Source organism: Homo sapiens, chromosome 13, assembly GCF_000001405.40.
Source record: "Homo sapiens chromosome 13, GRCh38.p14 Primary Assembly".
NCBI lineage: Eukaryota > Metazoa > Chordata > Mammalia > Primates > Hominidae > Homo > Homo sapiens.
In genome coordinates this window covers 97,556,727-97,583,957 of record NC_000013.11, presented here as the reverse complement: position 1 = coordinate 97,583,957, position 27,231 = coordinate 97,556,727, and the positions used below count along the sequence as shown (strand labels likewise).

At 39.9% G+C, this 27,231-nt stretch overlaps 1 long non-coding RNA gene across 2 annotated transcripts in view, besides 1 other annotated feature; it reads left to right on the top strand.

The window, feature by feature from the left end:
* LOC105370324 (uncharacterized) overlaps window positions 1-27,231 on the top strand; it is a 179,291-nt gene that overhangs the window by 127,087 nt on the left and 24,973 nt on the right. The gene's annotated exons all lie outside the window — the stretch shown is intronic.
* Window positions 8,741-8,790: an enhancer, noted in NCBI's record as "active region_7894". NCBI's record gives its function as "activates an Ori minimal core promoter by ATAC-STARR-seq in GM12878 lymphoblastoid cells {active_cell/tissue: GM12878}" and the evidence as "EXISTENCE:reporter gene assay evidence [ECO:0000049][PMID:35858748]".

Genomic DNA, 27,231 nt, shown 5'->3' with positions numbered 1-27,231 from the left:
TTAGGACCAACCAGAGAGAGCTAAATATGCCCCTAACCAATCACATGGCTGCCTGCTCCTAGTTAGCCACCTCCAGCTTCTCCAGACCAACGGCCTCCAATCAGGGCACATCTGAAGCCGTCCCTTTTGTCCACTGTAACACTCTCCCACTCCCCTGCCTGCCTTTGAGTCTCTGACAAATGCCTGTGATGGTGGCTGACTCCCTTGCTACAGCAAGCTCAGAATAAATTGCCTTTGCCTTTCTCATTTGGATGGTGTTTATTTCCACATGTGGTTCAGTTCTTGGGTTTTAAGTTAATTGGGTGTGCCTGTGACTTTCTTTTTGACTCTGCCAATCTTGCTCCTATCCCAAAATGCAATGGAGCAGATGGAAGGCAGATAACATACAATCTCTGCTACAGAAATAACCTGCTTCAGGGGCAGAGTAATTTGTAGGCCATTCCTTCCTGCTTCCAACCAAGTCCAGGAGATTATCACTGCAAGTCAAACCTGGGAGTTCCGGCCGGGCGCGGTGGCTCACGCCTGTAATCCCAGCACTTTGGGAGGCCGAGGCGGGCGGATCACGAGGTCAGGAGATCGAGACCATCCCGGCTAAAAAACGGTGAAACCCCGTCTCTACTAAAAATACAAAAAATTAGCCGGGCGTAGTGGCGGGCGCCTGTAGTCCCAGCTACTTGGGAGGCTGAGGCAGGAGAATGGCGTGAACCCGGGAGGCGGAGCTTGCAGTGAGCCGAGATCCCGCCACTGCACTCCAGCCTGGGAGACAGAGCGAGACTCCGTCTCAAAAAAAAAAAAAAAAAAAAAAAAAAAAAAAACCTGGGAGTTCCTTTGAGACTGGACCTTCAGATGCAACCAGAATGTCAGGTTCATTTTCATCCTCAATAGGAGGGAAGGGCAAGTGAGGCTATTTCACTTTGAGATATCTATTCCATCAGTATTCCTTTAATTTAATCATTCAACATAACATTTATCATGTGTTGAATATAAGGGTTTTAATTATCTTTTTAATTTTCAAAGACATTTTAAAACACATCCTTTCGATTCTGGAGAAACCGAGGTTCTGTAGCATGGCTCCTGGAAGGTAGCTCTTCAGAGTTCAGTCAACTGGGTTAGACTCATACTTTGATGAAACTTTTATTTTTTTCTCCTGGTTATTTACACTTTTCAGGAGTTTTTTTTGATGCCTCCCTCTTATTCCGTTGTTTCTTGGCTTGCTTTAAAAACTACTGATGTAATTTGGAAGTACTCTTGGGATGTGGTCTTAGATCTTAAGTTCAAGCATTCAAATATGCATGCATTCATTTATTCCACAAATATTTATTAAGGCCCTACAAAGTCAGATTTACCATGAAGCTAAGGATGCGTAAACTTTAGGGTCTCTCTTTGCCCATCCTTCCAGCTCTCTGGGAGGGACCATGGGGGCGCAGGGGGGAACGGAGGGCAATGCAGTCACATGTTTGCATAATTTTGTAAAATTTGCAGAAGTAACATATTTGAGCCACTATTAGTAAAGACGATTGTTGCCTTCTCCTCTGACTTCATTCTGTCACACCACTTCCTCTCATGCTGGGTGAGGTTAGAAGAGCTGCAAGGAGATTTGAAAACTGCCCGAGGGGACAGTTGAGTGAGGGATTTATTGTGTTTGAATTTACTGAGATATATTTATGTGTGCAGCTAAGTTGTTGCTATGAAAGATTCATGACAATGGCAAAGCTTGAGATTTGACTGTATTGTTAACGATCCACTATATTATGTCACTTGTTTGGTGAATTCTTTAATTCAGAGAAATCTTCCAGGTACCATTGGACACTTGCCAGCACCTGATGCTAACCTTCCTGCCCTTTCTACCTCCAACACACTTCTCTCGGCTTCTCAACCACTTTCATCCTGACACACCACCCTCAATCTAAACTGGACCTCACGCCAAGCCCATCTTTATTCCTACAATGGCCTTACTCAAGCCTGTCCACACACGTTCTTACTCATTTGACATGAAATTTTGACACAGATAACATAAAACCCATAATAAGGGCCAGGTGTGGTGGCTCACGCCTGTAACCCCAGCATTTTGGGAGGCTAAGGCAGGTGGATCATGAGGTCAGAAATTCAAGACCAGCCTGGCCAAGATGGTGAAACCCCATCTCTACTAAAAATACAAAAATTAGCCGGGCATGGTGGTGGGTGCTATAATTGCAGCTACTTGAGAGGCTGAGACAAAGAATTGCTTGAACCTGGGAGGCTGAGGTAGCAGTGAGCCGAGATCATGCCACTGCACTTCAGCCTGGATGACAGAGCTAGACTCCATTTAAAAAAAAAAAAAAAAAAAAAAAGAGAAATACCCATAATAAGTCACTGCAATGAGTTCATCAGTAACCAGCTGATTAACAAGGGTTTCTAATTCAAAGAGCATGTAAGGCTAGTCACTGAGAAAATTTGAAATGCCACAATCTTCTCGCTCACAGATGTAAGAAAAGGGTATTTTCACTAATTTGACAAAAATCCTAAACAGTTACATGACATTACCAACAATGAGTTACAAAGTTGAAAGGAATTGTTTTAAAACTAAACTTGGTCAACAATCCTAAAGATTTTTCTATTCTCTCTTCAGTAAATATTAACAAAGTCATCATTATATGGTCAAAGTGCACTTAGACAGAAACGTAGGAAAAAGGCCATTGAGGCTTGCCAGGGAATCAATGAATAAAAATACTTTTGTGGATGTTGTGATTTATGTGGCATTTTCCAGGTTTTTATTATTTAATTTGGGGGCATATTTTTTCTCACTTTAAATAATACTCTCTTGCATATTTTTTATATATTAATAGTTATTTTAAATTAGACATTCTAAATTTTGAGACTGTAGATTCACATGCAGTTGTAGGAAATAATGCAGAGGAATTCTGTGCATTATTCATCCCGTTTCCTATTTCCCCAATGGCAACATTGTGCAAAACTATACTATAGTATCAAAACTAGGATAATGAGGCCGGATGCAGTGGCTCATGCCTGTAATCCCGGCACTTTGGGAGGCTGAGGCAGGCGGATCACCAGAGGTCAGGAGTTCGAGACCAGCCTGACTAACATAGCAAAACTCCGTCTCTACTAAAAATACAAAAACTAGCCGGGCATGGTGATGGGTGCCTGTAATCCCAGTTACTCAGGAGGCTGAGGCAGGAGAATCGCTTGAACCCGGGAGGCGGAGGTTGCAGTGAGCCCAGATCACGCCATTGCACTCCAACCTGGGCGACACAGCGAGACTCTGTCTCAAAAAAAACCAACCGAACAAAAACCAACCAAACAAAAACACTAGGATAATGATATTGATACAGTTTACATATAATTTTTATATTTGTACCTTTGTGGTTTTTTTTTTCTAAAGAGCTCCCTACTACCCCCAGTATGATAGACTTCAGTCCCCCTGTCTAACATGTGCCGGACACCATTCAAGGTGCTGGGGATGGAGGACTGAATAAAAGAGCCAAAGTCCCTGGTCTCAGGGAGCTGCCACTCTATTGAGGGAAATAGAAATAAAATATACAGCATATCAGATAAGTATTATGGAGAAAAATCAAAGAATAAGGAGGTAGGGAGAATCTGAGATAGACTGACATTACTAATTTAAGAAGGGAAGCTGGAGAAGGAAGGCAGTATATGATTGCTTTACCTTTTAATAAATCTCACTTTGGAGCTCAAACGCCACCCTAAGACTGCTAGATCATACTTGCATTATACAAACATCTATGTCTCTAAGGAGGTGTTTTATTTCAACATGAGGTGCAGCATTAGCATCACCAGAAAATGCTTTTAGCACAGAGGATGTAACTAAAATAGGATCTATGCCCAAGGCAACAATATTAAAGAGTTCCAATGGGAAAGTCTGTTATTAATATGTAATTTAATTTTAAGAACTGCTTACTTTGTCCAAACTACATTGTCTTGGGAGCTACTTGTTTTGTCATTTGAAAATAATGAAGTGCCAAAGTCAGTACCAATCACATTAAGTCAAAGACACAAGACAGAGAAGTCTGCGGCAGCTATTTTTTTTTTAAAGGCAGCAATGAGCTCCCAAAGAATAAATCATTTTCAACCCATAGGCTTGCATAGAAAAGAGGCCTCCATGAATGTGGAGTTGAAGAAGCCAGCCATAGCAGAGAGGGCTCTGCAGACCGGGCATGTGTTCTGCCCCTGGCAATTAGTGTGTGATGTGATGAAGACACTCAACTTTCTCAGATGATCAAATCAAATGACATATTTAAGCTCCTTCTGTGATGATGACTTGCATAGAACAGTTGCTCAATAACTGTTTCATTTTCATCCGTTTCATTCCATCAGTGGTAAAACCAGGATGACATTCATAATAAGTACATTGCAGGAGTATAGCATTGTTAGAATTTAAGGCAATAACCCATGTTTAAACAATCATGTAAACTGGAAGACACCATAACTGTTGGTTTTCATTCTTGAATATGATAAACTTCATTCTTTTTATGATTTGTTTTGCTATGTTTTGAACTAAGAGAATATGACAAGTATTTGGAATTTTCTAGAGTGATAGGTCATAAAAAATTGTCTTACCAATTGTTTTGGCTACTGGAGTAGTGATATGAACTAATGTTGCACAGAAGTCTGAAGGGTGAATGACTGATGTTAAATGGCAGTCAATTAAAAGTGAATATATAAGTATGGTTAAGTGTAGAAAACTGGCCTATCAGAAAGTATAGTGAACTGAGAGAACTAAATTATAGAAATATTGTACTTGATTGCTCCTAAGTATTGGGAACTTTGAATTCCCAAGAATATATGAAGAATAGCTTTTCTTTCTCACCTTTTACTGGACCCTGAAATAGAATCAGGGTCTCCCTAAAGACAGCTTAACTCTGCTTTTGGCTGTGACATTTCTCTGACAGTCTCTGAAAGAGGATCAATACAGTAACACAGCAGCTCCTCACAGATCAAGACCCTAACTCACAAAAAATAGCTGGGTGTGAAGGTGGTTGCTGGAAAGGAAGAAATGAAGAGAGAAAGGAATGAGACATTATTGTGAAGCCCAGAGACATTATTGTGAAGCCCAGAGACTTTAGGCAAGATTTGATCTAATGTCTTGGTGATGTCAGCAGTGTGTCCGTATCACTCCCCTCTCCCTCCCTTTCTGCTGCCTCATCTCAAGTGGCATCCCCTCATGTTTGTTGGTTTCACAGAAGAAAAGGAAGGCCAGTGTAACTTGGAGCTTTGTGATGGGGAAACATGCAGGAGAAGCAGCAGGTGGCAGATTGGAGGAGGCAGATTATCTATGGCCTTGTATACCTGGCAAAGAGTTTGAATTTTGTGTTGAGCAGTAGGAGGCCACTAAAGATTCTTAATCAAGGGAGCTACATGACATGCTGTACAGTCTTAAAATATCACATTGATGGCGAGGACAGAGTGGTTTGGAGAAGGATCAGAGAAGGGAAATAAACAAGGAGGTGGTTATAGTGTCTCTTGGGTCTTGGTAAGGAGTATATGTGGGAGACATGAAGAAAAAAAAGCAAGAGTGAAGTATGTTATTTATGGTGATTGATTGCAGCCCAAGTTTAGAGTGTTCTTCTTGGTATTTATCTTGCCAGGTACCCCAGATGTACTACCTGACTATGGCTAATGTTTATGTTAAATATTTTCCATTTTGGTTACTTGAAAGTTTTTAGCTCAATATTATAAAACACAAGAGGAAAAAAAAGTGACTAATACAAGAAACAAACATAGCAGAATTAGACCCCTAAGGAATTTAGATCATAGAATTTGCAGAAAAACACACTGAATTACATTTGTTTAAGATAGATAAAACTATTTAAAAAAGGATTAAGACACCAGAAAAGAACAAGAAAATGTGAAAAAAGAAGATGATGCATATTTGAAAAAGAACCAAATAGAACTCTTAGAGAAGGAAAATATAGTCATTGATATAAAAAAACTTCAATAGGTTAAGCACAGATGAAATATAGCTAAATTGGTAAACTGGAAAAGAATGAGGATATTCTCTAGAATGCATCATAAGTATGAAGTGGTGAAGAATTTAAATGAGAGATTAAGAGATGAGAACGGCCAACACATGTCTTAACGGCAGTTCTGGAGAAGATAACAGAAAGGATGAAGCAGTGGCTGTAATATAGGAGTATGGCTGAGAATTTCCTAGAGTTGATTAAAGATATGATTCTCAGATACAGACAGCACAAATCCTACTAAGTATGATAAATTGAGGTAAATCAACATTTGAGAATTTAGATACACTGCAGAGATCAAAGGAAAAGAAACCTTAGTGTTAATCAGAAAAAACCCAGGATGTCTTCAAAGGAATAATACATAGTGGACTTCTGACCAGCGATAATGGAATCCAGAAAGACAGCAGAATAAATCAAAGTAGATCTTTACATCCAGCTAAGCTCTAACATGAACCATAGCAAAATACAGACAATATGGATCATCAAGAACTGGAAGAGTTTACTATTAACAGATCTTTGACATGGATTTTTAAAGAATATACTTCTGGAAGGAATGTGAAGAATGGACAGTGACACAATGAGATACTATGTCATACCCACTAATATGACTATAAATAAGAGAAAATAACAGTGTTGATGGGGATGTGGAGAAGTTGGTACCCTCATACACCGCTGGTGGGGATGTCAGATAGTGGAGCCATATTGGAAAACAGCCTGGCAGTTCCTCACAAGGTTAAATACAGACCTACTATATGACTCAGCAATTCTACTCCTAGATTTATACCAAGAAAACAAAAAAAAAATGTCCACACAAAAACTTGTACATGAATGTTCATGGAAGCATTATTTTTAATAGCCCAAATATGGAAACAACCAAATGCTCATCAACTAACGAGTAGATAAATAAAATGTGGTATATCTATACAATGGACTATTATTTGAGAGTTAAAAGTAATGAAGTACTGATACATGTTACAACATGGATGAACCTTGAAAACACTCTACAAAGCAAAGGAAGTCAGACACAGGAGACCACATATTGCATGATTCAATTCATATGCAATGTACAGAACAGGCACATTTCAAGACAGAAAGTAGATTAGTAGTTGATTAGGGCTGAGAGGTTTGGGGAAACAGAGGGACTGCTAATGGGCACAACATTCTTTTTGGGGTGATTAGTTCTAAAATTGATAGCAGTGATGGTTGCACAACTCTGTAAATGTACTAAAAACTACTGTATTGTACACTTTAAATAGTTGAATTATGTGGATATGGATTGAATCTCAAGAAAAAAGAAAAATGAATAAATAATGGTCAAAGAAATTGGTAAATACATTGGTGAGTAAATCTACTTGCTAAACTGAAACGAAAAATGAAACAATTTAAAATAGGAGACAAGTGGAGAAGGTAGAAATCCTTATTAACCCTAGACTCTATTAAAAAATCCATGCATAATTTTAAATTCATAAGGGAATAGGAAAGAAACAAGTTATATAATCAATATAAAAGAAAATTAAAGAATTAGGGAGCTAAGGGTCCAACTCAATAATTAGAAAAGAACAAACCCAAAGAAAGTAGAAGGAAATAATAAAGATGAGAGCAGAAAAAAATACAAAATGGTGGGTATTAAAGTCAACTGTTGGTTTTCAAAGAGACTAATATAGAATATGGAAACCTTTTTCAATAATAATAGAGGGAATTTATAACTAATATAAATGAAAAAGGGACGTGGCTACAGATTGGAGTAAAAATGATACGAGAATATTATAAATAACTTTATGTCAATAAGTTATGTTGACTATCAGGAACATACTGTAATTGTTATACTTAGGAAAATGAAATGCATTTACATTAGAGCCAGTACCAAAGCAGTAAGACCAGCTCTCACTTCTCCAGTTCAACAGTGTAATGGAGGGCTTAGCCAGTGTAGTTAGACAATAAAAGAAACAAACATGGAAACTGATAAGGAGGGGGAGATTATTCACTTCACATGGCTCCATTGTTCTTGCTATAAGTAGGTATTGCTTTTGTACGGAAAGAATTCAGTAAAATGAATGAAAGAAATAATTGACTATTTTCTCAAACTTTTGTTTTAAAAAATATATTTGGTACCATTTTTATTCTTTTCTCCCACCCAAATCTCATGCTGAGTTGTAATCCCCAATGTTGGAGGTGGGACCTGGTGAGAGGGATTGGGTCACTGGGGTGGTTTCTAATGGGTTAGCACCGCTCCCCTAGTGCTGTTCTCCTGATAGAGTTCTCATGAGATCTGGTTATTAAAAAGTGTAGCACCTCCCCCTTCTCTCTTGCTCTTGCTCTGGCCATGTTAGACGTGCCTACTTTCCCTTTGTCTTCTGCCATAATTGAAAATTTCCTCCTCAACCATGCTTCCTGTACAGCCTGCAGAACCGTGAACCAATTAAACCTCCTTTCTTTATAAATTACCTTGTCTCAGACGTTTCTTTATAGCAATTCGAGAGCGGACTAATCCATAAACATTGCAAGGAAATGGATGAATCGTCACAATTAGAAGGGTATATGATTTTCTACCTACAAAAGCCAAGGGAATGAAAACCAGTAAGAGTGTGTGAACAATAGATTTACATCATTCTCTTCGTCATAGTCACTGTCTTTGTTATCATATAATTACTACTCTGTTCTAGAGTCTGTGCTAAAGATGTGATGTTATTATCTCATTTAATCCTCACAACAAACTGAAGAGGTATGCTGTTGTCATCCCTACTTCAGCGGCGAGGGAATCTGTTGAAAGAGGAGTCAGCTTAGCTCCATGCACAGAGCCAGTGAGTAGAAGATCTGGGATGTCAGTCGAGGGAATCTGAGCTTGCAGACTTCGGCCTCCACCACTGGGCTGCGCTGCCTCCAAACACAGCCTTCTACTCCAGAGACTGGAGCAGGAAAAGATGTTATTCTAGTTGCCAGACAAATCATCAAGGCCCAGGAGTAAACCAATTGAAATATGCCTTAGACCTAAATGAAGGAAAGTACTAACCAGTACTGAAGGACATAAAAGAAAACCTAAATATAGAGAAAATCATACCACTTTTGGGGCAAGGGTGGGCGATGGTGGCACTCATTACTGTGAAGAGGTCATTACTCTAATCTATGAATTCAGTTCAATCCCAATCAGTACCTCAAAAGGATTTATTTAAGAGAAATTTGTTAAGCTAGTTTTAAAGTTCATTTGAAAGAGAAATTCAGAAGCCATAAAAAAAATTACAAGTTAGGCTACATAAAAATAAAGATTTCCGTATGTCACAAAACATCATATGTAGTTTTTTTTTTTTTTTTTTTTTTAAATGATCATCATCTAGGGAAAGCTACTTGTCACATATAAGACAGACAAAGGGTTATATCCCTAATAAACTAAGTGCCTACACACTGATATAGAAAAGAAAAACAACTTGATTGATAGATTAGGTAAAGCTATGATCAGGCAATTCATAGTAAAGGAAATATAAATGGTCAATAAAATATGAAAAGATGCTCAAACCCCCTAGTAGTCAGGTAAACAAAAATAAAATGATGGAAATTTGATTTCTGCCTGTCAGACTGGCAAACGTTTAGAAGATTGATGGCATCTAGTACTGGCAAGGGTGGTGGGAAATTCATATGCTTTTCAGTGTTCATGGAGATTTAAATTGTTACAGTCTTCTTAAAAAAGTAATCTAGTGGTATTAAAATGTAATATATATACATATGCCCTTTGACACAGAAGTTCCATTTTTTAGAAATATAGTTTACAGAAATAAATAAGGCAGCTACTCAGGGGGCTGAGGTAGGATAATCGCTTGAACCAGGGAGGCCGAGGTTGCAGTGAGCCGAGATCATGCCACTGCACTCCAGCCTGGGCAACAAGAGCGAAACTTCATCTCAAAAAATAAAAAATTTAAAAAAAAAGTAAAGTATGTGTAAGTTTGTTATCCCAGCATTGTGTGTGATGGAAAAAAATTATTTGAAAAAAATATAAATGGTTGAATTGTGGCTCATTCTTACTATTGATAATTATGCAGCTTTTATAAAAGATTACATCTATAGGAACCAAAGTTAAGGGAAATCTATAGTGTTATTATTAAATGAAATAAACTACTAAGTAGTGGTAACATTAGTTTTGTTAAAGCAAAATCCTATATAATATGTACACCTTTATCTCATATATAGGAGATATATTCCATATATATTTATCCTGTATATCCTTAAATATATTTACATATATGTGTATAAACATAAGGAAAGTTGTGGGAGAGTACTTATAAAACTTAATATTGGTTATCTCAGGATACTGAGATTAGAAGCATGGAGGGGGAGACTCTTAACTATCTTTACATAGCTCCACTGTCCTTGTTATAAGCATGCATTGCTTTGGTACAGAAGAATTCAGTAAAATAAAGGAAAGAAATAATTTGCTATTTTCTCAAACCTTTGCTTTAAAAAATATATGAAATACCATTTTTATTTTCTCCCTCTTAATCCCCTATTTTCTCTGCAAGCCTGATATTGACCAGGGCTGATTTTGCCAATTACGATAGTTTTCAAGATAGAAGTCCCCAGGGTTGGTGAGGGACCAACATATATACCAGACCATAATACATACCACAATGGCATGCTTTGTGTGTAAAAGGATTTCATTTTCTCTAATTAATAGCTTAGTAGTTTTTGGACATTAAGCCTCAAATAAGCCCTGGAATTAATGTCATTCCGTCTATGTAGTGATTTACCAAATTCCAGATGGTTCCCTGGTGTGGTCCTTTGTTCATGATGTCAGAGTTACTAATCCCTTTTAGCCAAGCAAGCATTTATTATGTGTTGCAAATGCAGATACTCTCAGGTCACCAGTAGGACATTTGGTTAAGAGATAAGAGGAGGAATCATTTGTCTCTCCTGATGATCTGGTGGAGATACTTGGTGTGGTGGGTGGGCTAGCTGAAAAAGAAATCAGAGAAATTCCCAGGAAGAACTGCTTTGGGGCTGGCTAGCTAGTATCTTTCTGACATTTTTTTCTCCTTCAGAAATCCTTTGCCTTACTCAGAACCCTTGGATTAAGTAATAGGAACTGCCCCAGTCAAGTTCAGTTTTTACTAGGATTTTTTCCCCACCAAATATGAACAAATGTAATTCCTGGGCTTTGTGAATTTCTGTTGTGATTTTAGTAATGTTTTTGACATTGCTAACAGACTCTGAAGAAAAATGCAATCTGTCAGTAAACCCTTTAATATAGTAAGGTTTTTTTTTTTTTTTTTTTTGAGATGGAGTCTTGCTCTGTCGCCCAGGCTGGAATGCAGTGGTGTGATCTCAGCTCACTGCAACCTCTGCCTCCTGGGTTCAAGCGATTCTCCTGCTTCAGCCTCCTGAGTAGCTGGGATTACAGGTGTGCACCACCACACCTGGCTAATTTTTTCTATTTTTAGTGGAGACTGGGTTTCACCATATTGGTCAGGCTGGTCTCGAACACCTGACCTCGTGATCCACCCACCTCAGCCTCCCAAAGTGCTGGGATTACAGGCGTGAGCCACTGCGCCCAGCCATTTTTTTTTTTTTTTTTTTTTTTTTGAGACGGGTTCTCCCTCTGATGTCCAGGCCAGAATGCAGTGGTGTAGTCAGCTCACTGCAGCCTCAAACTCCTGTGGTCAAGTAATCTTCCTGCTTCAGCCTCACGAGTAGCAGGGACTACAGGTATGCACCACCACATCTGGCTAATTTTTTTTTTTTAATTCTGTAGAGATGAGGTCTCACTGTGTTGCCCAGGCTGGTCTTGAACTCCTGGCCTCAAGCAATCCTCCTTCCTCGGCCTCCCAAAGCACTGGGATTATAGGCATGGGCCACTGCACCTAGCCAGACATTTTTTTAATTGTGGTAAAATACACATAACATGGTTACCATCTTAGCCATTTTTAAGTGCACAGTTTAGAAGTGTTAAGTATATTCATATTGTTGGGCAACCAATCTCTAGAACATTTTAATCTTGCAAAACTGAAACTATACCCATTAAACAACTCCCCATTCCCCTGCCTCCCAGACCCTGGTAACCACTATTCCACTTTGTTTCTATGAATTTGACTACTCTGGATACCTCATATAAGTGGAATCATCCAGTATTTGTCTTTTTGTGTCTGGCTAATTTTGTTTAGCATTATGTCTTCAAAGTTCATCTCTGTTGTAGCACGTTATCATAATTTCTTTCCTTTTTAAGGCTAATATTCCACTATGTCCATTAAGGGATTTCATTCATATATACATATATATATATATATACATATATATATACACACATATATATATACATATATATACACACATATATATATACATATATATATACACACATATACATATATACACACATATATATACATATATATACACATATATATACATATATATACATATATATACATATATATACATATATACATATATATGTATATATATGAATGAAATATATGAATGAAATATATATATGCACACACACACACACACATACACACATATTCAAAAGCCTTAGATATAAAAAATATTCACTGTTTTAACCCTCGAAAAACCTGTACTCATTTATTTATTGAAGTTGACTAAAATATGGCCGAGTACTAAAAAAACTGATGACTGAGTCACTACTCTGGAAGTTCTCAAAGTGAGGATACAGTGATTATCCAAGGCTGGATGGGTCATTTGTGCAATATGTAAAAGTAACAAAGACATACCACCTTAAGTTACCCTATTTCAGGGCCTGTTGTTTCTAGAGAATTCCTTACAACTCTCCCTTGCAAAACTCTTCCTCTCACTCATAGAAGATCAAAGTGGAATTTACTAATTTAAGGACTAATATTTCGCTTATTGTTCTAAGCTTATAAATTCTGCCTCTTACAGAAAACAGACCCTCTTCCTTGTTTTAGATCATATTTGCGTTTAGTATTTTTTTTTTTTTGGCATTAGAAACAGAAAGGAGAGAGGCTGCTGAGTCCCCTGCTAAAGCTCTAGTCTAAGACTGACATTTTAAAATTCAGCAGACAGAGCAAATCCACATGATTCCAGGACTTGCCTCTCAAGGTCAGAATATTTAGTGAACACTTGGGTCAAATCCTCTCCTTGGTATCGGTGCCAGGATGTTGGCCCTCAGTTCACCTTCCTGAGCTCTTTGCTCAGTTCTCTTAGGGATGTTTGGCTGTGCCCCCTCAGGCCTTACTTCTGAGCTGATACGTTTGACCTCAAAATGGATAACAGGGCAGGAAGGTGGGACCAGCTTCTGTCACACTGTGCAGTTTATTTTCTATCAATAGCCCTGTTACAGTGCACAGGCTCTTGGGTTCCTTGAGGAATGGAGCCATTTTGTAAACAAAACACTGTCATTTTAAGCCATTAGAATGCATTCTATGAGGCATAATGGCCAGCGGAGAGCTACTGGGAAAGTCGGATGAAGCACAGAGTGAAGTATTTGGTTCTCTGGGTCTCCTGTGATTTAACTGCCCTACAAACTCAGCCTTCCCATTAAATACTGTATTAAAAAAATCTCTGGAGCAAAAGCAAATATGTGCTTTTCTTCTCTGAGAAGAGATGGATTTAGCAATTCTACTTCTGTTTGTTATTTCAGTGGAATCTAGTTGTTTTGGGAGTTAAATAGTCTTCTCTCAGATGTTATTTTAAATGCCCTCTACCCGCCACCACCCCTCCCCCCGCCTTTTTTCTTTTTGGTAAGAAAACTAGCTCCTTAGCTCTTCAGGTAGTGGTGAACAGTTTTAGTGCTAAAGAACATTCTCTCTCATGTTTTGGACATGAGTCTGAGTACATTAAATGTGTTCATGCATTTTATATTGTAAAATACAATGTAATTCTTGTTTTGTGAGTGGGAGGGTAGACGATAGTGCTGAATTCCATGTGTTAGTCCAGGCTTTATGGGAGGCAGATGGCAAAACGGCGTTAAATGTGCCAAGATTCCATTAGCGGACACTACCGTGTGAGAGAAGATGAAGAGTATCAGAAAAGGCTGCGAGAGTTTCGGCTCGCCCTGTAAGCCTGATCCAGGGAAGAGGAGAGGGTGGGAAGGTTAGGTGGGAGCACTGTGGTTTTGAAACAGCTGTGCAGTTTAAGGAAGGTTTGTAAGGCTACTGGGGAGTCTTTGGGCCAAGATCAACCTTCAGAAGAGTCCAGTGTCTCCCAGAAACCGGCTGCTTTGGCGTCCCTGAGGATCACTCACTGGCCAGGCACAGCTGTGGGAGGTACAGGGGGGCCCTCGGTTAATTACATGGCCTGTCACCTAAGGTGTAGGAGCCATTCTCAGAGTTGCTGCAGTCTGCATCTTTAAAGTTTTGGAGAACTCTGTGTTACCTGGTTCTAACATCACTAATGATGGATGCTGTTTCTTTTTTAAAGTAAGTCTCCATTGATTTTTGCATCTCATAATTCATTAGTTTGAAAGCTTCCAAAAAGCAGTTAATTGCCCCCAGGGGCCATCTAGGATCCTTTTATTCGCTGGAGGAACTCTGATATGATATCAGTAAAGAAAAGCAAAAACACAAAGAGGTTTTTACTTCTGTCGGTCCTAAGATTGTTATGTGTTCTTATGAGTTTTGCGGCCACACTCATCTGTCATTTATTAGTTGAGTGACCTTATGCAAATCACTGAACGTCTTTATGTATACAAATAGTCATAAAAATTCATAGCTGGCAGAATCATTGGGGGTTAAAACAATATGTATATTAGGACTTGGCACATAGTAGGTCCTCAGTTGAAAATGTAGACATAGCCAAGTTGTATTGGAAGTTTACCCTGTGCTCCATGGGGTGCATAACTGTCAGAGTTCACTGCAGGGATCTGGAAGATGCCTGGTGTTTTAAGCAGGAAGGGATTAGTGTCGGGAGGTGGTGCTCACACAATCATGGGAAGTGGTGGGGGTGGCCAGCCCCAGGCTGGGCTTCCAGACCAGCTCACCAGGGAAGCCTCTACCTCTGTTCCAACCAGGAAGGGGAGAATGAGGAAGCTGCCACTGACCCTGCCACATTCCAGGACACACACCACCATGGCTGCAGTCCAGGAATTGGGAAGCTGGGAGCATGAAGCTGCCACCACCACTGCAAACTGCCTCTTGACACCCTTAGAGTTAGTGTCTGGACAGTGGGACACCACTGCAGAAATGCCACATCTCCACAACCTTACTTACCAGCAGAAAGCCAGAAGTAGCAGCGCTGGGCGTCTCCTGGATTCTGCCTTCCAAATTGCATGACAGTGCATCTGCCACACAGACCCTGATTGGCATGCAGAACTCTAGCTGTGGTGGCTTTTAGCTTCCCAACTCTGTCATCCAACAGGGGTCTGCAATACAGGAAGGCACAGGAGAAGGAGGTGGCTGGATGCCCGAGCATAGCTGGCACCCTTTTCCAGCACTGTGCTAGGTACACTATGTGCATCACCTCATGTAACTGTTGTCATAGCAGAGCAATATAGGTAGAATTATTACCCCCACTTTACTGATATGGAAAATGAGGCAGGTATCTGGTGGGGGCAGTCTGTGTACTCAGATCTGTCTGTTCTCAAAGCTCATTCACTTAATTAGTCTGGTGCTTTTTCTAGAACATATGCGTTCTTTGTGTTCACTTTTGAAAAATGTCCCAAATCCCAGTTTCTTTTCCTGTGTGGATGAAGCTGCCCTCACTGCAGGCAGATTGGGTAAATTGTTTTTGATGATCATTCAGGGAATAAATACATGAACCTCTTCACTCCAGCTCCAGGGGTATAAAGAGTCAGTTTGCAGTGGTGGTGGCAGCTTCATGCTTCCAGGCTCCCGATTCCTAGACTGCAGCCCTGGTGGTGTGTGTCCTGGAATGTGGCAGGGGCGGTGGCAGCTTCCTCATTCCTTACTTCCTGGTTGCAACAGAGGTAGAAGCTTCCCTGTGGGCTGGTCTGGGAACCCAGCCTAGGGCTCACACCACAGCACCACCTTCCACAATTCTGTCTCCTGCTTTGAGTCATCAAGCTGTAAAGAGCATTGCAGATTGTCTTGTGAGTCCCTTGCCTCTCTTCTGCCATTATGAACAGGGGAACTGAGACAGAACTAGATGAGCATATTCTGATTAAGGGCTTGAAGTTGAGATTCTCACTCAGACCAGCATCCTTTCTCTTATCCAGTAGCTTGGTTGTCCTTGGACCTATAATACATTGCATTCACTGTCCTTCTCAGGCTCACACAATAAAGGTCCCAATGGGAATGCCCGGATACATCTGCACCCTTGATCTTTGGCATATGGACTCTCTGCTTTTTTTATTTGTTTGTTTCAGGTTGTGACATTGCCACAGGAGATGGCCACACATGCTTATGCCTTCTAGGGCTCAGTTTTGGTGAATCAGTTGTTTTCAGAAAGTAGCCTGTGAACTGCTGGCTGTTGATGAGAATCCATTAGATCCTCTGAGGTCTAGTTGAAATGGCAAGATCACAGTATGCCAAAGTCTTCTCAAGTTCTTAGCTTGCCATGGGGACAAAGAGAATCTCTGGTCCTTCAGTGGCCACTCCTTTTACAAGGCAAAGTTTTTCAGGCAGACTTTGTTGCGTCTCAACCCAGGTATTTCTGCAACTCCCTTAAAACTGCTCATGTGTTCTACAAATCCACTCTGTTGACACCAGTCACCTGTTTTCTGGATGGCTCTAACATTCTCTTGCAGATCGTTCTCTTTGCCATACTGCTACCAGTCTTCCTGCACAGCTTCAATTTAGGTGAGATAGGCACTAACTTCTTAGTTAAATATTTAAAGCACATCCAAGAAACCTTGCAGAAGGCTTGCAGAGACCATAAAAATCACTCAAAAAGCAAAACTGTAAGTGGACAACCAATGCCACATCTCCCCACGTGGCTCCGCTGCAGTCCATTGCAAAGGGTCTATTTGAGCTGCTTCTTGCCTCACCCTCAGCCTGCCCCTGTGTTAGCCAGTGCTCATTAACACCATCACCATCCTGGAGTACCTAGAAAACTTTTGTTTTAAATTTTTAATTTTTGTTGGTATATAATAGGTATATATATTTATGGGGCATTATGGGATATTTTGGTACAAGCATACAAGGTGTAATAATCACATCAGGGTAAATGGGGTCTCTGTTACCTCAAGTATTTATCCTTTGTGTTACAAACAATCCAACTGTACTCTTTTAGTTATTTAAAAATGTACAATTAAATTATTTTTGATTTGTCACCTATTGTGCATCCTATTGTGCTAGCAAATACTAGGTCACCCTATTTGTCAAATTGGTATCCGTGTGAGGGGGAAGATCAGTGGAGCCTTCTATTTGGCCATCTTGTTCCACCCTTTCTCCATGTCAAACTTCTTAATCTCTCCAGAAGCCTGTGTATGGGCAGACTTGGGGAAGTATGGAGGCTTCTGTGAACAGATGTGGATTTCAGCTGAGATGCTGGGGTGGAGGTGGCAGTGAAAATCTGAGGGAAGACAGAGGGTTCCCTTCTCCTCCTCCTAGTCTTCAAATGGTAGACACTGACAAATATTCCATAGTAGCAGAGAGAAGAATCCAGATCAGAGGGATGGTCAGGGATTACACTTCTTTATCGCATAGCTTGATCTCGAAACTCTTAATTCAAGTAAGAACACCAGCTGTTTTTAAAAGCTTACATTTATCTCAGTCTTCCTCCAAACAATCACCTGCCACAATGTTTGATCAATTGTGATCCTTGTGTCTGAGGATGGGGAGGGTCAGGATCTGTAACTCTGTTTTAGGTGGCAGCCAGAGGAGACATGAAAGCAGTATGTGGGGTGTGTGTTAATTCCACTTCTGGGAGTGTCACTTCTCTTGTTGTTGTTCCAGACTTGCAGTGAATGGAAGGAAAATAGTATGTGCAGACTTGGATCACTTTGGTAATTATGCCCATCATATGAGGAAACAGGGAGCAGCCTTTGTTTAGCAAGAAAACGAATCCAACAGCCAACGAATTACATTTTTACAAAATCGCAGCATGTGTGTATGTAGGGGGTGGGGAGTATTTTGTGTTTGAGGTTTTTGAGGCTTTTATGTTTCTCTTGGTCACCAGAAATAGGTCATTGGACCCTTTCTGTCTGGAAAAACTTGGTGTCTTTTCAGAACAGTGAGCCCACAGATATAGTTAGAGATATGTGTGGGGTGCTCAAAAAAGGGAGAACCAACCTTTTAGGTTCCCTAACTGTCCTAGACTTTACTAGGGAAAATTCTGGGGGACTTTCTCAGACCATACTTCAGCCTTGAGACCCACCTGGTCACAGTCTGAGAGGAATGCTGCAGTAATTTCCCGATTTTTGCCTGATTCCAGCACCGGAGGGAGGGAAGTCACCTTTCTTTAATGATGGTGTCAAATGCCACATCTTTGGTGGACCTGGGGACTATTGGCTATCCTTATTGTCTTAGGTAGTTTTTAATTTGGGAAAACATTTCTTTCCCTTGTGTATCCTGCCTTTCCTGCTTCTCTGATATAACTGGCCTTTCAGGACAGATGGGTTTGGGGGCTGTTATCAGCCTGCAGAGTGGGCCAGTAGGCTGAGCACTGGGCAAAACCCCATTTTCAACATGAATAAGAAGATAGTCCTTCTAGGAGGGCATTACCTTAGTCCTTGGCCATTTGTTTTAATCACAGTGAACTTCCTAAAGGAGCAAAATTCCAGCAGATCTGACTCCACCGAGAGGATCTTTGCTGGGATCAGATCACAAAGTGAACATCGTCTCATGTTCCTGAAATGTTTCTCGGTTGTCAAGAATTTATTCATGAGCCTGGGGTTCATCTCCAGTGGGAATTCAATCTTTTTTAGAGAATGCCTTTAGTTTGGCAGGAAAACAGTCTTACTATGTAAATAAGCATAACACAATGTCTGGCATATAACAAGCTCTCCGTAAATGTCGCATAAATGAAGGATGTCAACCAAGAGAAAACAAGACAGGAGAATGGACATAAATGTTCTATCTTTCAAGTTCATACACTTTTGGTGCAATTTTTATGTTGATATGTGTTTGTGGGAAAATGCTGAGTATATATAACACAGGCTGATAGTGTCCGTTGATTTTATAGGAAGAACTGAGAAATAAATACACAAGGAAATTAATAAAATAGACACTGTGATGTACATTTATATACATTTTTCCATTCAGTTTTCTTATGAAAACACTTTTCTTTTTGAGATGGAGTCTTGCTCTTGTCACCCAGGCTGGAGTGCAATGGCATAATCTCAGCTCACTGCAACCTCCGCCTCCTGGGTTCAAGTGATTCTCATGCCTCAGCCTCCTGAGTAGCTGGGATTACAGGTGCCTGCCATCACACCCGGCTAATTTTTTTTTTTTTTTTGTATTTTTGGTAGAGACGGGGTTTTGCCATGTTGGCCAGGCTGGTCTCGAACTCCTGACCTCATGATCCACCCGCCTCCACCTCCCAAAGTTCTGGAATTATAGGCGTGAGCAACCACGTCCAGCCTGAAAACCCTTCTATGGGTAAGGATTATTAATCTTGATTTATGTATTAATCAAGGATGGTTCAGTGCATAAAATAGAATCCATTCCAAGAGGTTTTGATAGGAAACCATTTCAGGTTGTTAGATGTTTACAGAATGTTTGGAAGGGCTAGAGGAATGGGTTCTAGTCTTAGTCATCAATGGTAACTCCCCAAATAATTCAGAACTGACCATCAAGGAAGTGACTATTGCCAAAGCTGCCTCTGGAACTTCTGAGTTCAAGAACACTCCACCGTGGCACAATACAAGGATCAGGAAGTTAGGCGGAAAGCTGCCTTTTCTTCCTGCTCTCTACATTCACGGAGCTGATGACTGGCCACTGGGATAGGAAGTGCAGCCACTGCCTTCATCCATGTTTCCTATTACAACCCAAGGACCTGGAGAATGAATGCTGAAAATCTGCTCCCAAACCTCACTTCCCACAACTTGATTTGCTAGCAGAAAAGCAGCCCAGATGGCAAGGAGATGGCCTCTGCTTCACTTTGGCCTCCTAGATACACAGGAGAGGCTCTAAGTGATGGAGCCTAACATCCAGAACCCTACTTGCAAGAGCATTTGTGGGATGCAGTTTTAGGCTTTCCAGCCTCTGCATTATAGGAAGGCACACCAAGAGGGCAGAGTCATGGCTGAAAGAGTCAAACCATCACAGACTGCTTGGAAGGAAGTTAAAGCTTGGAGAGGCTCCTAGAAATAACATTTCTGCTCAAATTAAAAAGAGCATTATGGTTAAGTGCACATCCTGGTTGGACAGACGAGGGCTCAAGTCTTTACAGCAGAATTTACTAAGTGTTTGGTCTTAGACAAGGCAATTAACTTCTCTAAAAACTTCCAAATCCTAATCTATAAAGTAGAAATAATACTACCTCCCTCATGGGGTTGCATGAAGATATAGAGATCATGTTTGTAAAGTGGTTAGCACAGAGTTTAATAAAGTGTTGACATGATTAATAAGGTTATAGGGTAAGCAGTGGAATCAGGACACTAACCAAGGTTCATGGTCTTTGTTGCATCTCTCTGGGTATTAAAGATGAGATACACCAGGTTTGAGGGTGAAAATAAATGTTTATAAGACTAATACTTTAAAAAGTACTTTTGATGTTATTACACTTTAAATACATCTTATTATTATGATTGATTTTACAATTATAAGGTATCAAGATGAATTCCACTAGCCCTGCATCAAAATTGGCCTTGTTACCTTAAAGCACATTTTTGATTTTACACATGGTAGTGGGTTGTGTCCCTCTAAAATATATGTTAAAATACTAACCTCTAGTACCTGTGAATGGGACTTTGGGTGGAAATAGCACCTTTGCTAATACAGTTAAGATGATGTCATACTCAATAGGTTGGTTTTACATCCACTGGTTGGTGTGTTCATAAGGGAAAGGAGAAAGAGATTTGGACAGACACAGAAGATAACCATATAAAGACGGAAACAAAAATTGGAGGATGCAGCTACAAGCCAGGAAGTGCCAGAGATTGCTGGAAATGAGAAAGAGGCAAGGAAGAATTCTCCCCTAGAGCCTTTTGTGGGAGAATGGCCTTGCAAACACCTTAATTTCAGACATCTGGCCTCCAGAACTATGAAATAATAAATTTTTGCTGTTTTAAGCCATTTAGCTTATGGTAATTTGTTATAGCTGCCCTAGGACAAGAATACATACATGTACCTCTTCATATAATAATGTATTCCTGATAAGTTGTGTAAGATTATGCTTCTTTATTTCTTCATGATACTTTCAGGGATTTTTACTTCCAGATTAACATTTTTTTTTAGTGGTAGCTCAGAAAACTTGACATTCTCCTTTTCTAATTTTCTCTCACATCTCTGTCAAGTACTTAGTAGGGTATAAATAGACCATTCAACATAATTGGGGAACATAACTCTAAATAATGATGTGGCAAATACTTTTATAAGTAGAGCACTCATTTAATTTATGATTTGTAATTTAAGTAGTAGAGTGGAAAGAACAATGGCAGGTACAAGGGAAGGAGACATGGAAACTCAACCACAACTGCCTTTAGTTGAGCACTGACTGCATGTGAATGCATTGAACACAACACGTCTATCTCATTTCTCCTTTGGCATAGGAATCACATCCCATTGTGCAAATTAAGATGCTCAAGTTTAAAGAGGCAATTAAATTAGTCTCATCAAGATCACACAGCTAGTAGGTGGTGGAGGTGGCACCCATCCTCAGGCTATTGGACTCCAAACCCCATGTGAATTAGGGTTCTCTAAAGGGACAGAACTAATAGGATAGATGTATATATAAGAGGAGTTTATTAAGGAGTATTGACTCACATGATCACAAGGTGAGGTCCCACAATAGGCCGTCTGCAAGCTGAGGAGCAAGGGAACCAGCAGGAGTCCCAAAGCTGAAGAACTTGGAGTCTGATGATGTTCGAAGGCAGGAAGCATCCAGCACAGGAGAAAGATGTAGGCCAGAAGACTAAATCAGTCTAGTCTTTCCACATTCTTCTGCCTGCTTCTATTCTGGCCATGCTGGCAGCTGATTAGATTGTGCCCACCCAGATTGAGGGTGGGTCTGCCTTTCCCAGTCCACTCCTCAAATATTAATCTCTCTTGGCAACACCCTCACAGACACACCCAGGAACAATACTTTGCATCCTTCAATCCAATCAAGTTGACACTCAATATTAACTATCACACCGCATTCTTGAGCTTTCATCTTGGTGTTAAATCTACCTCTCTAGTGCCTTCCTTACTCATCTGTAAGTTGAATGGGTTTGTTGGGAGATGCATTTCTCAAACTACTCTTCTGTGAGGCACAGTTCCACCTGAAGCCTAGAGACTCATTTCCATCCTGGAGTCATAATGACTATCCCATTCATAGAAGTGTCTAAAGAATAGAGAACAGGTGGCACATGTATACATATGTAACTAACCTGCACATTGTGCCCATGTCATGTACCCTAAAACTTAAAGTATAATAATAATAATAATAATAATAATAATAAAGAATAGAGAACAGGTGAAGACTGGTAAACCATCTGTGAGCCAATGAGCATTTTGAAGGACAGTGGTAAAGGGTTATAAAGCATTTGACTCACAGCCCAAGAATGAAAAGCCTAATTTGTCTAAGACTTTTTGCATACCATTTCCTCCTTTCTACTGTTTCCATTTCATCCTCTCCCCACACACATCACCCTCACAAAGGTGGTTTCATGCTTTTCCTTTTTCCTCCCACTCACTCCATTCTCACTTAGTCAAAATCTGACCTTGAACTATGAAGGCAAATTTAGAAGTTTGGAAAACGTGAGGATGAAATTACCTATGAGTTGTGGCTTGATAGTCTACTAGCATGGAATGGCTTACAAAAGGGAAAATAATAAAATCTGTGAAAAAATTAGAAAAAATAATTTCCATTTTTACTACAGTACTCACAATGTATATACATTAAGAAACACTCAGAGTATTGAAAATTATGTCAGAATATGTGAGCAAGATATGTGTTAATTTATATACAATGTGATAATTTATAACTCAGTGACATTTCAGTTGCTGAGAAAATTTTTATTTGGTATGACATCTTTCCTAGAAAGAGCCTGAAGTTACATTGGATAATAGTGCATATCCGTCCTGCCTTAAACTAACAGTGAATAGATGTTGTGATTTCACATTTACTAGTCAGACAACATAGAATCTGCAATGTTGAAAGTTCATAGTTGTAATCAGTCTTCTTTTATACAAAGAAGCCAAGAAAGGAAATTGAACAGTGCCTTCATAGTATATTCTCCACCTTGATAAAATACACCTAAGCCATTGTCTTGACCTAGGACTATACGTAGAGAAAAATCTGCTTCCCAGACAAACCAGACAGTTGATCTAGTACAAGGGCTATTTTAGTTAATGCCAGCTAAGAGGAGCAGAGCACTCAGACTATTGATTTCCAGTGCTGTCAACATTTGCTAACATACAATTATAAAACCGTTAGAGTCTATCTCCTCTCTAAAAGAACATGAACATTTAAAAGCTCCAGAGTTTTGAATGCTGAAACATTATAATTAGAACTTTCTTTTCCAGGAGCAAAAATGCCATTCTCAGAATGCGCCATGGTTTTACGAGTGCAGCTACTGGTCATTACCAATCAATTGTATCATTAGTTATTCCCCTTAAATACTCTGTTCCAATTAAATTCCTTGCAAAGTTTGCATAGACAGTAGAGTAATTGAAAATACCCTACTTGAAATCTCCCCTTGGAGAGAGGGCTGGATCATTTGCCATATACTTAGCTTCTCTTGGCTGCACAAGTGTGTGCTCCTTTGAGTCCTTGAATGCACTTGGCGGTGCCTCTCCCTGGCTTCACGGGGTGGTGCATGCAGCGCTCTTTGTCACAGCAGAGACCTGAACTGTCCATGCCCTTGTTAGGCAGTTCTGCCTTTATAGTGAGGAGCATTCTTCATCTCACAGATAATTTACCTTAAATGATGATTTCCTTTGCTAATATTGTCATTATAACTTAAAACTGTGTTTGTGTTTAGGTTGTTTAAGGTCAAAAGACTTATATTTGTTGCCCATTTGAAAGGACATTTTTCTTTTTCTTTTTAAGTGTCTTAACAAGTACTTAGCAATCTACAATGAATAGTGCAAATTATGATACAAAACACCCCAACATCAATTTCCTTGTTTTGAAGGTATGGTAGTCCCCCCTTATCTGTGTTTTCACTTTCCGTGATTTAGTTACCCGAGGTTGACCATGGTCCCAAATTAGGCGAGTACAAAATTAGGTAAGATAATTTGAGAAAGAGGAGAGAGCACATTCACATAATTTTTATTACAATACAGTGTTATAATTGATTTATTTTTAGTTATTAATCTCTTACTGTGTATAATTTATCAATTAAACTTTATGTATAGAAAAAAAGGACAGTATATAATATGTAGGGTTTGGTACAATCCGTGGTTTCAGACATTCACAGGGGTCTTGGGTCCCTTGTGGATAAGAAGGGACTACTGTACGTGGGATTCTTGTTGGCAGAGGCTATATGGTATCTGTAAATTACTGCAAGATTCTCTTGAAATCTTTATACAGACTCCAGGAAGCCAGCATAAATGAATTTAAGGGAAAAAATAATCCCAATTCCGGCTTCCAGGAAAAGCCCAAATGTCAACAGTTAATGCTTACTAATGAAATGAGATGTCACAGTGTCTCAGATGTATGGCAGCAATGATTGGCACTCCCTCTTCTGTTATTATTTTCTACAGCCCCTGGCACAAGTTGGCATATTGTTAAAACTCTCTCACCAGTGGTGAATTGAGAGGGTGAATCAGTGGAAAGGAATGCTCTGATGTATAGGCTATCTCATGCATTTAAATTATGGACAAAATACATTATACAAAAAAGATACTTGCACGTGCATGTTTATAGCAGCACAATTTGCAATTGCAAAAATGTGGAACCAGCCCAAATGCCCATCAATCAATGAGTGGATAAAGAAACTATGGTATATATATACAATGGAATACTACTCAGCCATAAAAAAGAATGAATTAATGGCATTTGCAGCAACCTGAATGGGATTGAAGACTATTATTCTAAGTGAAGTAACTCAGGAATGGAAAACCAAACATCGTATGTTCTCACTTATAAGTGGGGGCTAAGTTATGAGGATGCAAAGGCGTAAGAATGACACAGTGGACTTTGGGGACTCAGGGGCAAAAGATGGGATGGCGGTGAGGGATAAAATACTACAAATTGGGTTCAGTGTATACTGCTCGGGTGATGGGTGCACCAAAATCTCACAAATCACCACTAAAGAACTTATTCATGTAACCAAATACCACCTGTTCCCCCAAAACCTAAAGAAATAAAAATACATAAAAATAATAAATTATGGACAAAATAGTGATTGTTCAGATTGAGCGTCTGCTGCTAAATGACACTGATGATGTCCAGAGAGATGGAGAGAGGCTAAGGATAAACTAGAAGCAACAGAAAGCCAGGTGGGAAAGCCAGGGGTCTTCTGTGGTTGTGCAGAAAGAATTTTTCTCCTCTAGCAGGAAGGTGGAGAAAAATGAGAACAAAGCCCAGAAACTGAGAGTGTGAGGGGCGAACTTCATAGGCTGTCAAATGCCCCACCAGGATGGGTCTGTTATGCCAAGTTGGGCCCCAGACCACATGGCGTGGGAACATCTAGGTGGACGCCCTTGGAGATTTTGACTTCTTAAGACTCCTCCAGCCTTCTGAGCCTGCAGATGTCACCCAGTCTTCCCCATGAAGAGTGAGCATCCCCAGTCTCCACAGCAGCTTCCCAGCACTCTGGAATCATGGAAAGTGCCCTGGAAAGTGCTAAGGACTTTCTCCCAAGGCAACCTGTCCTCCTCCTGTCTCCAGAATCTGCCTCCACATCTCCTTTTGGATGTGGGGCCAATAATTAAGGTGCAGCACAATCCAGCTGTTGATGTGCTGGGCCTAAGGGACTGTACTGGAGAAGGTGCTGCAAGCCCTGCTCAACATGCCCTGGCAGGAACTGGAGAGTAACATGTGGGACGGGATTCTGCGGGTACTTGATCAAGAGCACCAAAATATAAAATTGGGCAGGTAAGTATATTTAGGAATCTTCTCCTGAAATATAGAATAAAGAAGTTTAATCCTGGCAAAGATCCCAATAAATGGTTCAAAATTGCTACTAGGATGCCTCCAAGTGCATGGAAAAAATGATGGCCCATACTGAGTGACATTGAAATGCTAGAATCACTGATGCAGACATTGCCAAGAAGAAAAGGACTAAGAGGCCCCAGGAAGTGAGCAACCAGAATGGATATTCTGCACGTGGTTAGGCATCTGGCCAGATGTTATGTGCTATAACCATCCTAGGTGATGCACCATTTATCAAAGCCACACAGGATGTCCCATAGAGCCAATGGGAGGGCTATCAGCATCACTAACATTCCATGGTGGTTCTCTGCAGATGAGAGCTGACAGTAAGAGAGGCTGTAATAGAACTTCATTTGATGATTGCAGTGAGGGTGATAGTACCCCCTAGAAGGGAGGCCAGGTGTTGCCACCCTAATAAATATGTTTCTAGCCACACTTCATCACAGTATCTCATTTTGGAGAATGCAACCTGTAACTATAAGAATCTAAGTTCTGTGTAAGGTACATAGCAATAAATTCACATCTAGACACATCATAGTGGGATTTCAGAAAATCAAAGAGAAAAACAAAACCTTAAAAGCTACCCGAGAAAAAAAGAGCTTACAAAAGAACAACAATTAGACTGGCAGCAATCTACTTGTAACAGTCAATGACAGGGACAATAGGATAACATCTTCAAAGGGTTGACAGAGAGTGGATATCAAATAAGAACTCAGTATCCAAGTTCTTTCACTAAATATTTCATTAAAAACTGAGGACCAAATAAAGACATTTTGAGACAAGCAAAGAGTTTATACAGTTCTTGGATCTGATGGAAGTACTGAAAGAGATGTACATCAGCCAGAAACAAATTGAATCCACGAAACAAGTGGGATTTAAGTCATAATAATCACTCAGAAATTACTACATAATAGCAATACATTTAAATAAGTATAGACTATCATTTGCTTTCAATGATTTTAGTACACATTATCTGTGTCTCTTTTGTGTACTATTTAGTATAGAGTTTCCATCTATAATTTTATTTCTTATTTGTTATAGAGTAGGCCCTTTATACAGCCTCAGATATTTGCAAATACTCAATTTTTAAAAATGCTATCATAGCACTTGGCAAGAATTAAGATATCCAGAGGAGCAGAAAGCACAAAAG